Source organism: Homo sapiens, chromosome 4 (genome assembly GCF_000001405.40).
Source record: "Homo sapiens chromosome 4, GRCh38.p14 Primary Assembly".
Taxonomy (NCBI): Eukaryota; Metazoa; Chordata; class Mammalia; order Primates; family Hominidae; genus Homo; species Homo sapiens.
The window spans coordinates 105,813,372-105,827,677 of record NC_000004.12 but is presented as its reverse complement, the minus strand read 5'-3'; the positions used below and the strand labels follow the sequence as shown (position 1 = coordinate 105,827,677).

General features: G+C 33.4%; 1 protein-coding gene and 1 long non-coding RNA gene across 9 annotated transcripts in view; one reads left to right on the top strand and one right to left on the bottom strand.

Annotated features, from left to right (window-relative positions):
- GSTCD (glutathione S-transferase C-terminal domain containing) overlaps positions 1-14,306 on the bottom strand; it is a 138,942-nt gene that overhangs the window by 20,048 nt on the left and 104,588 nt on the right. For all 8 annotated transcript variants that reach the window (XR_938771.2, XM_011532252.4, XM_047416179.1 and 5 more), the window contains exons 6-8: positions 4,609-4,724; positions 4,403-4,447; positions 1,878-2,006 (exon numbers count right to left, since the gene is read on the bottom strand). Coding sequence is in view for 7 of the 8 variants with exons in the window: in XM_011532252.4 (XP_011530554.1) it covers positions 1,878-2,006; positions 4,403-4,447; positions 4,609-4,724 (290 nt within the window). In the remaining variant the exon portion in view is untranslated. The remainder of the gene's footprint in view (positions 1-1,877; positions 2,007-4,402; positions 4,448-4,608; positions 4,725-14,306) is intronic.
- GSTCD-AS1 (GSTCD antisense RNA 1) lies at positions 506-12,533 on the top strand. Its single transcript, NR_125927.1, has 4 exons — positions 506-565; positions 4,241-4,303; positions 7,077-7,136; positions 12,367-12,533. It is a non-coding gene; the product is annotated as a GSTCD antisense RNA 1 (long non-coding RNA).

The window sequence follows — 14,306 nt, the reverse complement described above, 5'->3', positions numbered from 1 at the left end:
CTCTAGCCACAATATTTTTTAAATTTTTTTGTGTGTATACTGGAACACATTTAACACAGGAGTTAGAACCTCTGATGCATTTAGTCTAATTTACCTAGTGACAATATCTCAATTACTCTCCTAGGCAAATTATTCTCTTCAGAGTGAATCTACTTTTAATTTAACCTTCTAAGCAATTTTAATCCATTTTCTATACACCTTGACAAGGGTAATTATGAAAGGAAAAAAAGTCATTATAGATGTATTACAAAATGTAGAGAAAAATTTCACTTCCAAAGAGATATATACATTTTTAGTTGGCATTAGTAAATTATACACTTGGAAGTTACAAGAATATGCTAGAGTGATTTAGCATCTATAAGTCATGAAGGGCCAAGAGACGGATGGAACAGACATAGGCTGGAAATTCCATGCTTTGTGAGGTAAATAAATGGGTAGCAGTCCACATTTACTTGCTACCATTCTGTCTGGTGTACTGGTAATATCTGGACTGGTTTAATGGCTTGTTTCATGGGAGAAGCGCTAAACTTTACCTCAACATTTATGTAAAGTTAAAGCTGCACAGGTATTTTTTAATTTGAATTTTCTAGATTACATGTCTACATTTTCCTGAATTTCCTTATTAACAGCCAGGCTTATAAAAAGAGAAGTAAACTGTAGATCGTGTCTGCAAAGGAAACGAATAGCATATTTTTTAGGTTGGAAAAAAATTACAATAAACCCCCAAATTTGCAGTAGTCAATATTTAAGAAATAAATTTCACTGGGTAAAAATCAGAAATACTATAAAAGGTCTGAATTAGTTAAGTTGATAAAAGTTCTACCTAGACAACCACATGTTTATATGAACATATGTAATTAGAAAGGATGTCAGTAAGAACCTTCCTGGAAAGTGGTTTGGCAAATGCATCAAAATTCTTAAAGGATGCATAAAATATCCATCATAGTAATAATTGCATTATAACAATGAGAAAAAAAAGTATGATTAAAAAGTAGGTAAAAGATTTTTAACAGTATTCAGTCAATGCAGGATCTATGTAGTATGGTCTTAACAATGTTCACATATGTGTAAAATATGCATTTATATGCGTGCATAAATATAAAAAACTAAAGATTTTTGATAGTATTTATCACTTGATAGTAGGCATATAGGTTATTTCTTCTTTATATTACTATGTATTTTTCTGTATTACTATCAAAATGTATATTCCTATCAAAATCAGAAAAAAAATTATTTAAAGCAAATATAAGAAATAGCAGCAACACTAACATGTTCATAAAACTCAAAGTCTACAAAAAATAATAAAACCCTGGGGTTTAATGATCAGGCAGAATTACATATCTTAGGGATTTTTCATAATATCAAATAATAACAATTTGATCCAAAGGTTTAGAAACATGATCAATATACTTTCTCTCTTGGAACCTGAAAATACATGTAAATATAAAATCTTAGCTAAAAAAAATCACAAGGCAATGCTTGTATTTAGAGATTACTAACAAGTTATTTTCTTTTCTTCTTTTTTCTTTTCCTTCATTGTCTTCTAAAAATGCAGAATAAACCAAGGCAAGTCATGTTCATCAGAATCAATTATTCAATTATTAACCAGTTTTCAGCACTTGCTACTGGGGATTCTGTAGTGAAGAAAATAAAGTTCTGGTCTGATAGAGGAGCCAATGTTATCTCTGTTATGTAATGATGAAGTGCTATGAATATAATAATATTCATTAATATGCTATATTTCATAGATAATATAAGTATACAAAATTATAAATTTGTTTGGCAAAGAACACAAAATTATCTTTTTTATTTACTCTAAGGCATGTAATTTTTCTTATTTAGCTAATTAAAGAAATTGAAATTACTTGATTACTTACTCCAATATTAAACATCCCAGTAAAATATTCCATATTTGCTTGAATGAACCAAATGTTGCTTAAACCCAGTTCATCACTTCTCTTCTTAGCACGAATTAATGATAATTCCTTGTTTTCTATTAATGTAACCTAGATTTTACCCAGAAAACAATAGTATATTTAGTAACATAATTCAGACATTAGGCAAAGCATTATCACTATATTTCATAGCTTTAATAATGTAGAACGTATTATATTGAGCCTCTATTCTGTGGCAGGAAGTATGTCACATAATCTGGTACAGAAAGGAAAAATGAAAGGTCTTTGAACTATAGTGATATAGCTTTGAAGCATAGTGATATAAGTGAAACAAGCAATAATAATACAGCGTGGGCCGGGCGTGGTGGCTCACGCCTGTAATCCCAACACTTTGGGAGGCCGAGGCAAGCGGATCACTTGAGGTCAGGAACTCGAGATTAGCCTGGCCAATATGGTGAAACCCCGTCTCTACTAAAAATACAAAAATTAGCCGGGCATAGTAGTGTGCATCTGTAGTCCCAGTTATTCGGGAGGCAGAGGCAGGAGAATCCCTTGAACCCAGGAAGCAGAGGTTATAGTGAGCTGAGATCGCACCACTGTACTCCAGCCTGGGCATCGCAGGGAGAATCTGTCTCAAACAAACAAACAAACCAACCAACCAACCAACCAACCAACCAACCAATCAACCAACCAAGCAAACAAAAAAACCAAAAACAAAACATCAAAAATAATAATAATACAGTGTGATAAGCGTTAAATGAAAGACAAACAATGTTAATGGGAGCATTCAAACTTGATGACTATTTTCATGGGGAAGTAACATATTAACTGAGGCCTAAAAAATGAATACAAATCGGTTTGGGGGGAATGGAAGGGTATTTTAGGGAGAGAAACACATGAAGGCCCAAGATGAGAAAGAATATGGCATGTTTGAAGAACTGAGAAAATTGGTACGCAATTTCCAGGGCACAATGTGTGTCATGGTGATAGTAGTGATGGGGGGACAGGGTGTAAAGGGTGAAAATGAGGCTGGAGAGGTAAACTGAAACCAGATCATGCAATTATGATAAAAGAAGTTTTAGTAGTCTGTAATGTATGGTATGGATTGGTGGCAACAAGGCCAGAGGGCAGAGAAACCAGTTAGGAGACTCCAGTGATAATCTAGGCAGAGAAGATGGTTTGAATGGAAAAAAATGAAAAGAATTAAGTCACTTTCATCACTATCATTCCTAGTTCTTATTTTGTTCTTATGCTTGTCTGTAAGAAAAAATCCGTTTGAAAAACCTGTTAGACTATACTTGGTGTGAAAGGCTTTCCTGACTTTATTCTAGACAAGATTACTCATTTTTGGTTTCAACCTTTCTAAACTTCCAGAAATATTAATAAGGGAAGAAAAAATATTACATCCCTGACTCTGCTTCTCAGAATTTTACTCTGTGAGCTCTCTTCCTCCTACTCAATCACAAAATTATTGCTTTACTTAATAATAAAACAAACAACTGCCTCTTCTCCCAGGATTCCTTATTTATTTTCCTGTTTATTCTCTAAGAAAAGAAAAATAAAAGAATGCTATTCCCTGTCCCCTCGTCATCATTCTGTTACATGTTATTCTGGCCAGTCTATTAGTTCTTCCACATTTTTTTTTCTTCCGCAAGTATTCACTATAACTAGTTCACACCTTCCAGAGAGCTCACAAGCAAAGACTCTGTTGCAGTTGAGTTTGTATTAAAAACAAAACAAAAACAAACAGAATTTTATGCTAAGAAGTGGTCACAGTGAGGAACTGATTTAACATGGCAGAAGACTAAAATCAGCACAAAATTCTAACAAATTGTGGCAATGATTGAATACATTCTGATATATTTACTTGAAAATATATTTGGTAGTCTCCGAAATATGATGATACGTAAAACTATTAGCAATAGGGAAAAACATTTATGATACAATATTGAGTGAAAGCAAGGGATACATTGTGTTTGCATTTTTAAAATTTGCAACAATTAGCATCCCTATGGACAGTGACTTAATGAGAACAAGAAAAGCAAAGCATTTGATGGATCAGTATGGTAGGTTTTGGGTTTTTTTTTTTTTTGCTTTAAAAAATTTTGCTATTGTTATAATTTTGATGCAATGGATCAAAATCAAGATACCAAAAGAATATGCTCAGCAAGTTTCAGAGGTCAATATTTCCATTTAAAATTATATTGAAAATTAAACTAGTTGAATCATAATTATTTTATTTAGCAATAAAATAGCTACTTCTTTGAAAAATTACTTAAACCTATAAACCTCTTTTAAAAATTGATAAATGTTTTATGATCTTACTTTACTTTTTTTTCCTTAAGATTCTGAGTCTTGAAAGTTTATTTCAAAGAAAAGACAATGCCTGTGCCACATATTTGACTTGGGTGAGTGACTAGAAACTCCAAGAGCGGGATAAACCAAATTTGGCTAGCTGAACTGTATAATTTTAAAATATTTCCTTTTATCTCTTATTCTGGCTTTACCTGACATGATGGCAGCATGTGAGCAAGGACAATTCCAACATGGCCCTGAAAAAGTCAGTAAGACAAACAAGTTAGCTTTGGTCCCCACAGCTTTTCCTCATTCTGAAACCACAATCTTGCCAAATAAAAACATGACCTTGAATGTAATATAGAAAAGTCTCATAATCTTAGAAAGACTAAAAAGGATGAAAGGAGAGATAAAATACCCCACCGCTGCAGAAATCCACAATTCTGTCACCAGGTTTGGCCTGATTTGTTACCACATAGACAAGGTTGTTCAACTGTTGCTGCTTCCTCAAAGCTCGATCACTGGACATTTTACCTGAGAAAGACAAGAAATGAAGAACACAAAACATTATATATTTTGAGGGAACAAGAAGACACGCTTAAAATAGACTACCAGCATAGAGGAGGAGGAGGGGGAGGAGCATACACACATACATACATACATATAAAATAATAAATGATAAATTCCATGTAACAGACTATGAGGACTAGGAGGACTAGAACCCGAGATGAACTTTATTTTTGCTTGTTTTACTTTTATGTCTATTCAACATTTCCTTCAATAGCCATTGAAAGGAAATCTATGGGGAACAATATGTCTTTTAAAGCATGGAAACAATAACTGAAACACTAAGTTTAGGGTCATAAACCAACTGTCCAATTAATGTTGGCAGAATGGAAAAAATAACAGTAATTGTCTTCTCCCTTTATCTTTTTTCAGAGACATATTGTAAAGAGTACCTAATTTCAACACATTGCTTAATCTCCTTATAGAGAGATCCATAATAAGTAAAAATATTTTTATTGTTTAATTGGCACATCCTTGAACTCTTGATTCTTCTGTGTAGGACACTGGGAAACTTTGAAACACAGGTGTTACATTGTCTGAAATATATCAATGGTTACTGTATTTAGGGAGAAATTGGATTTTCTGTTTTCTGCTTTGAAGCTTCCTTTCCTCATGAGTCAGACAGAAATATAATGCAATTAGAGATTCAGGATAGGGCATTTCCAAGTATGAAATGCCTGGGGCCCCACAACATAAAAACATCTTAACTTTCCTTTCAAAACTGCTAGTCAAATCCATAAAAATATCTTCAGAAGAATGAATGAAATTATTTGTTTGTACATATTTCAAGTGCATTCTTTACAAGAGCAAAATTAAGAAAATGTAAGACACCAGATTTCCATGATATAGATAAAAGGGAAAATCCTGATAATCTTTTTGGTTTGATAAAAAATTAAACATACTAAGGTTTCCTTGCTCCTTTTTCCCAGAAAAATGGCATGACATTTTTCTTTTCTTCTCTTTTCTGTTTTCCTTCTCTCTTATGTTACTAAGTTAAAAAGCACAGGAAAATATTATTTTAGGAAAGATTTTTAAATGTAAATAAAAAACTATATAAAAAAATTTATAGCATCATAATTCAGCGATAACATTTTATGTACATGTATGGTTACTTTCAATTATATTCATAAATTTTATGTGTTCTAGCTAGGTATAAAATATAAAATGTTATATTACAAAATATGAAATATTGTAAATATCTTTCCATGTCAATGCGTTGCTTCCTATCTATATATTTTAATGGCTGCATAGTATTCCATTGACTATATATACACTATAATTGAAGTACCCAATTTCCTATTGTAATGATGTGAGCATCATACACAGCTGATTCTTTTGTCACATCCTTAATTATTTAGCATGGATGAATGTAAATTTCAAATATGAAGAATATTTAAGTCAATACTCTGATGACTTCATTTGTGATGACAGATTCATGTAGCTTTTAAAAGAACTATCTTCATTTTTCTCTAATAATATATGTGTACAATATTTAAACACAGAAGAAGTAAAAGCTGTAATCCCACCCTTCATGGGTAACCACTCCTAAGAGATTTTTGTCATGACAACTTTCAAGCATCTAGCAAAACTGAAAGAATCTTAGAGTGAATGCCTTTATACCCTCCACCTAGATTCTACCATTAACAACTTACTATACTTGATTTATCATACTTCTATCCATCCTTCTATTCATCTAAATATGCCTTATATTTTTATGGCAATGCAGTTTTAATTTGCAGTAGAAAGAATAAGAACAAGAAGAGGGGAGGAAAGGAGGTGTCAGAAGGCAAAAAGAAGAGTACTTTGAGGCTCTTTGGAGACCTAGAGTAAAAAATACTGCCATTAAATGGAGCCACCATGAAGTAAGGAATGAGCACGAGCATTTCTGTCTTTGCTCTGTTTGTAGATTTCTTAACAGTTCCTTAGTCAAAGAATTTTCATAAAAGAAAGTTAAAAGGAATGTTTTTGTTAAGAATAAGGAGATAGGAAAAAAATTATTAAATGGAATATCTAATATCAAGTTCTATACCACATTTTTATTAGAAATTTAGAATTACCTAACTTCCTTAGGTCTGTTTCAAAAGCAAATGCTGATAGAGATCTATTTTTCTTGCTAATACTGCATCTTTGCATATAAAAAAATACATGTAGAAATGAAGGCTGAAAGCAAAGAGGTACTTTTCAGGGTTGTGTTTAAGTTGAGAGACCATACGCTGCACATAATATTCACAGAGATTGAGCTAAAAATACAGCAGCATGGTGCTCAGATGCTTTATGGAAAAGCTGCCTCTAATAAAGCATTCTCTTTCCCCGTTCTAGTTTTATAAATATTACGAAGCTCCAGGAAATATGAGCAGGATCTCAAATATATTCAACAAGGTAAAGAAGTGGTATTTTGGGATACAGTATTAATTTAAAAATCAAATCCTACTTTCTATTTTTATTCAGTATCCTTGTGCCTGAGACAATATTTACAAGCATAAAATTACAATCTATTTTTAGCTTGACTAAAAATGATGGATCTCTAGTGTCACGGAAAAAGAAATCTAAGTGTAGAATATTTTAATACAAATGATGTCATTTGTTCTGCAATGCAATTCTTCTGCAAATGAGTTTTTTCTTTGTCTAATTCCAGTTAGGAGGTACTTGATTAGACACTTCAGTGTGGTTTGCATTGCCAGAAAAGAAAGTACAGAGGTAAAGGAGCCAATTTTTAAGCAAGGGGGAAGCCATGTTAAAACACCAGCATTTTTGGTTCATCCAAAGCATCAAATAATGAAAAAAAAAAATCACTGGAAAATGTGTACATGTACCACCAGCACACATGTTCAGTGTAGTAATTTATGTCCCAAATCAGGCAGCTCTTAATTTTTTGTTTCTTAGCTTAAAATAACAAGTATCTTACAAGTTATAACTTACTTATAAAAGAGTGCATGGATACTCATTAGATGTCTTTACTAAATATTCTTTTGCTGTTTTGTTTTCAAAACATTTGTTTGAGATATAGCACACCAACAGTATTCTGTGTGTTTTTTTTTTAATATGGAGACAAAGAAGGCTAAAACTATGTTTAGAGCTTAAAAACACACCGAAAAGGTAAAAAAATCAAGAGCAAAAGCAAATTTTTTCAACAGAGATCAATGTTGTATACACCACTCTTTTAAAGAAGGTATAAGACAATTGAATAGACAAGGTGGCACTAATAGAACCTTGAACAGGTGAGAGGGAAGACGACAACCACAAATGTTAATGTTTTCAAAAGAGGTCTGATTAACAGCATTAAGAAAGACAAGCTGATGAATGGTCATTTATCATGCTTTATAGGGCAATCAACAGCAAAGCCGAGGTTCTATCCCCACAGTTGCTATGGTTTTCATGCTTGGAACAATAAGTAAGATACCTACTTATATGCCCAATACTCATCTATATGCAGAGGACGCATCTCAACAGAAATGAATAAGAAGACATAGTTTCTGTTCTTAAGAAGTTAACGGTATTTAAGAAGAAGGTGTGTGTTAATTATGTGCAAAAGTATGTGCATTGAAGATAAAATAGAAATGTCTTGAGACATTAGAATGGCCTTTAGAGAGACTTGGGCATTTAAGGAGGATCAGAAACTTACCAGATAGAATGGGGATGGGGAAGGCATACCAAGAACAATATGACATATTTAGGAGAAAACTACAATTAACTCACTTGCACCTAAAAATGAGAGATCAATGGGGGAAGTAGTAGAACATCAGATTGACGTGAAAATACAGGCAGACAGTGCCAGATAGGAAATGACATTGCTTGTTGTTTGCCTCTCTGTGTCTTACCGAAAACATGGCCTTGCTTTCATATTTAATGTACTTAGAGCTGCTTAGGGACAAGTTCAATCTGAATAGACAGCACTGTTAATTTTACATTATTACCAACTAAGGTGTTCTTTTATAATGTTAGTCTGCATCATTTTTATTCTGGATATAGTATATCTTCAAATTAGATAGGATTATCCATAAAATTATCTGGAGCATTGAACCCCAATTGATGCTCTCTGCCATTAAGTGATTTAATTAAAAAATAAAATGGAATCAATTGAACTCATTAAACCATTTTGAACCCTGGTGTTCTAGATCAAGAAATCTTTTGAACCCCTATTAAATTCTCCTCACTCTCCTTCTCAGGCTCCTCTTCCCTTGTTATACCCCTGATGCACTATGCTCACCACATTCTGTCTCGTTGTTCCATAGCTAATCACTGAGCATGCTTTTCCTCAGTATATTACTAAAGTCCCTTCCAAATGTACCCATTAAAGTATCTCTCCTTTGCTCAAATACCTTTATAGGCTCCTCTCTGCCTTAAGAAAAAAATATTGATGTCTTGGCAAGAAAGCAAGGCCTTTAAATGATCTGGGCTCTGATTAATTTGCTAACCTCATCTGCTACTTTCGATATTTGCCCATTGTTCCAGCCTCTCTACACAAGTGACATTTCTTTGAATTTCTCACACCTTATGAATTAGTTCCTTTATATAATTTGTTCCCTTTGCTTAAAACCTATCTCCTTGCTTTAAAACTTTAGGAATCCCATCACCTTTCCTTATTCCAGAATGAATTTAAAACATCTCCTACTTTTGTCAATAACAATTTTTTTCAAGACAAAAGAGAAAAAAGTTACTTTTTCAAGCTCTTTGTTACTACCCAAAATAACAAATCTTTTATACTATAAAGTCTATTATTGTTAACCAGTGAAATGATTTATTATAAAATGAAACCTAAGTATAATTCATTAAAATAACTCCCCAAAAAACCGTTAGCTGAAATTGCTTCTGTCTCCCTGAAATAGATATGAATATTTTTTCCTGGAACTGCATAAACTTGGGTCCAATTAAATGAAAAGATTACCAGGAGACTGATAAGCACATAAAAGGTTCTCAATAAAAGTTTAATGAATGAGTTTTCTCTGCAAATATGACAAACTGCATTTCAAGGCATTATGCTAATTTTTGCAGGTACTAAGTGTGAAAATGCGTTAGATATCGATGCTATGCATGCATTTGTCAAAACAGTAAAAGAAGTCAACTATAAAACAGTATTTTAAGTAGGGATAGAAAAGTTTCTGAAAACTTTTGTGAGAGAATAACAAAACAGCCATTTAAAGCTGTGTAAGTAGACTTCAAAAGCTAGAATGGAAGAACAGAATTCCTAAAGAAACTCCTGAGAAAATACATGAAATTAGTCAGCAACATAAAGTTTACACTGTAGGTTAGGGCAACTTTGTTTAAATTTTGGTGATACCTTGTTGAAAACACTAAAAATCTAGAATAGTTATTTTAATTTTACATTTTTAAAGCCAATTGGAGGCTACTATCACTAATCCTCTTAGCTGCACTGACCTCAATGTGACAATTTTCTTGTAACAGTGGATACAAATAATCTGATACTCTCCCCCATTCACAAACCCCACAGTTCAGTCTATGAAATCATCAACAGCTTAACAGTGTGATGGCATTTTTACTCTTATAATTTTGTTATATATACTATTAGAGTATTCAATAATTAAATAATTAACTAAAAAGACAGCAGAATTCATTGGAATTCATAATGTTAAAAAAGGCTAATTTATACTTCCAAATTGAGGAATAATGATCTCATAAGTATCTTTCTCAATCATTCATTCAACACATCAAACAACTAACTTGGCCTATATAGAACTGTTCTCTAAACTGTTAGAGATGTAAAGATATATAACTCTTAGTTTCTATCCTTAATGAGCATATAGTTTGTTTAATTAGTACAAAACATTATATTTGTGCTTAGAAAATGTATTTTATTAATCACATTGTACAATGTTCTTAAAAGAAATTTTAACAGCCACAACTTACAAAAATCCATATATGTTTCATTGAAGTTCCTAAAATGATGGATACTTTCTGCTTATATGATGCTTTACAATATATTAAGCACTTGCATATTTGATACACCATCTAACCTCAAAACTCTGTCAGGTTGTTAGGGTAGATGACATTTTTCTTATTTTACAAATGAGGACACTGATCACTAAATAGGTTGCTCAAACTTTGCACTTGTTCAAAGACATGCAACTGGTAAGTGGTGAAGCTGGGACTCTAAAGTAGGATTTCTAATGTCAGGTTCAGTCTTCTTTTCAATATGATCTGTTATGTCTGTCTTAAACAGATGCTTTTAATTAATTGTGATGTCAGAATTTCAATGCTGGTGTCTTTTTCATATGCGTGCGTTCAAGGAAATGAGGTGCTTTCTAGCAGGGAAATGAGTGATTCCCTAGTAATTATATCTTAGGGAAAAATTTAATTATTCAGAGTCAATCATAAAATGTATTTTACTTCAGTTTTTCCTCTAAATAAAATTTTCAAGAGCAGACTTATCAATGAAAAGGATCAATTTAAGTTTCGAATGTCAGGATTTTAGAATATATTGCTAAGGCATTAGAGGTCTCCTAAGTCACTCTGTTTAATGAACTGACCTTTGGGTCTCACCCTTTCCAGAAAGAGACCATTTCCCCACCTTGGGACTGTAGCAACCTTTTTGATTTTATTGAAAAGTGACATGGAGAGGTTGAGCAATCAATTTGTTGCAAAATCGGATTATCCAGAAGGAAAGAAATGAAAATAGATTGGGAAGATCTTTCATGTTATAGTACTGCAGATGCTGACTAAAAATATCATGCACCTTTCACCCTTCCATATCTAATTCTAAAGCTTCTTTTAAAAAGTCAATAACTAAAAACTGTTTAGGCAAGATGTTGGGTTGAGGGACAAAAGTTGAAGAAAGTATAATCACATCTCTTACCAGGTCAAAGCTTCTGCTTTGTTTATAGAAGAGCTTACATACAGTGAATAATGGAAATTGTAAAACCTTCTTATTCCTGCTATTTTTTTCTCTAAGATGAAAAAAAAAATTTAATTTCCGAATACCAGAATCCACAGTTAATTGAACACATATATTTTCATTTCATCCAAATACCATTTACACCACACAAAGTAAACATTACTCTGCTCTGGCATTTTGGGTTTTTGTTGTTGTTATTTTAAGTCCATAATATTGTCTAAGTTGCCCACAAGACCAAACTGAAATGTTTTTAAAACAAAAAGGCTAACTGTAGAAAATAGTTAGGTATTTACTTCTTTTCCCTCTTTTTCAGAGGCTTAAGTTAACAACAGTAAGGTGTCTTAATAGTTTTGTTAACTTTTTGAGGCCATTCAAGTAATCCTCAGTTGGCTTCCAATTGATGTTTCACAGTAATTAGGTTAAATGCCACTGTAGTAGTCTGAAATGATGCCAACTTTCCCAGAGTCAAGTGATTTTTTAAAAAAATACTTCTTTTGTGCACATGGTGTTCTAATGTCCGCTATGATCTGACCTTATAGGTTTTCTTCTTTGATTTTTTTGTCATATATTTTATTTTGTTTAAAAAATGAAATGCTGAATATCTAAAGTGACACGGCCCTAAATTCTTGGCAATATTAATACTATATTAAAATATGGTATTCCCATCTAGAGGTGGCATCTATGTCTGTTATTAAATCTCAGCTTCATGACTGTTTGATCTATCTAATACAGAAACAACATGGTGCTCTTTTCTGGCAGCTTCCAATTTTTGTCTTTTGAGATGGTTGCTCTTGGAACACAGAAATATGCTTTAAGATGTCAAGCCTCCTCTGCTGATGCTGTATGGAGAACAGACAAGCTTTCCCATCAAGCCCTAACCAAACTGCAGAACTGTGAATAAAATCAATAATTGTTATGAAAAGGCACTAAGCTTTGCAGAGGTTATTTATGTGGCAATGGAGCATAAGACAGATACCATAATATTGGCTTTGTAAGAATTAGCATCATTGAATAGCATCTATTAGGGCACCTACCTATACATGAGATAGTGCTCAATACTATGACAATAACCAAAATAGAGAATGGTTATTAAACTTAAAAGTTAACACTCAAAGGCAGGGCTATTCATACAAGTTACACAGGGTCTGTATAAACCGCAAAGGCAGTTTTGCATTCCAGTTCTACCATTCCTTTTCCCTTTCTAAGGATCCTAACTTTACAGGCCTAACTGTAAAGAATGTTAGGATCTCAGCAGCAAGGGATGGTGGAAAGAAAAAGACTCTGGGAATGAACCCAGCTACAGGCATGGATGGGGTGGGAACAGTGATCCAAATTAGTATTCAAAAAGGACTCAGTCTGGGAAAGTATTGATATCCGCATAGGTCTAATTTGATGGGTGGTACCTAGCAGTGGTAGTATTTATTTTTTTAATTTATTTTTATTTTTATTTATTTATTTTTTTTGAGACAGAGTCTCTGTCAACCAGGCTGGAGTGTAATGGCACTATCTCAGCTCACTGCAACCTCTGCCTCCAGGGTTCAAGCAATTCTCCTGCCTCAGCCTCCGAGTAGCTGGGATTACAGGTGCACACCATCACGCCCAGGTTATTTTTGTATTTTTAGTAGAGACGAGGTTTTGCCATGTTGGCCAGGCTGGTCTCGAACTCCTGACCTCAGGTGATCCAACAGCCTCGGCCTCCCAAAGTGCTGGGATTACAGGTGTGAGCCACCACGCCTGGCCAGCAGTAGTGTTTAGCAGTGCTCCAGCCAGCAGGGTTTAGGAAAAGGGAAAGATACAAAGGGCTAGGCAGAGAAAGCTTGCACTACAGGAGACATGTGGGTGACCATATCTTATCCTAAGTAACAATGGATGTCAGATCTAAAATAGCAAGACTATACTCAAACTATACCAGTTGGGAGGTCTGAGTCTACTGAAATAGGTATACTGGTTTAGGGCCTAGGTAGGGCAGGGGAAGGCATTTTTTCCGAAACTGAAATTTTGAATCTCCCTCTTTTTCTCTGGTTCTTTCATGACAACCTCAACAGACTAGTTCATTAATTTAGCAAATTTTTTTAAAGCACTTATTATATGCCTGGCCCTGATCAAGGTGCTGGAAACAATGGAGAACAAGAGTGATGTTTACATTCCAGTGATGGGAGTTTTATAATAAAAAATTAAGTGATGATTTGGAGAAAATTAAAATAGAATAATATGGTTGAAATTGACTAGGTGAATATTTTATATTAGGTAATCTTGAAGCCATCATTGAGCAGGTAACTGAATTGAAATTTGAATAAAAAGAAGAAGCCAGCCATGGGAAACAAGAGAAAAAGCACTCCATATAAACGGAACTGCTGATGCAATAGTCTTTAGGTAGAAAAGAGCTAGGGATGTTTGAGGGAGATCATTACAATTGTGCATACTTAGACTCATCATGAATGTTGGTTGAGTGTCTGAAATGCTTGGGACCAGAAGTATTTTGGGTTTCAGAAATTTTTTTTCTGGATTTTGGAAAATTTGCAAGTACATAAGGAGATATCTTGGGGATGGGTCTCAAGTGTAAACACATAATTTATTTATGTTTCACATATACCTTATACAAATAGCCTGAAGGTAATTTTATGCAACATTTTAAATAATTTTGTGCTCAAAACAAAGTTTGTAATAAGTACTTATGCATGGAATTTTCCACTTGTTGC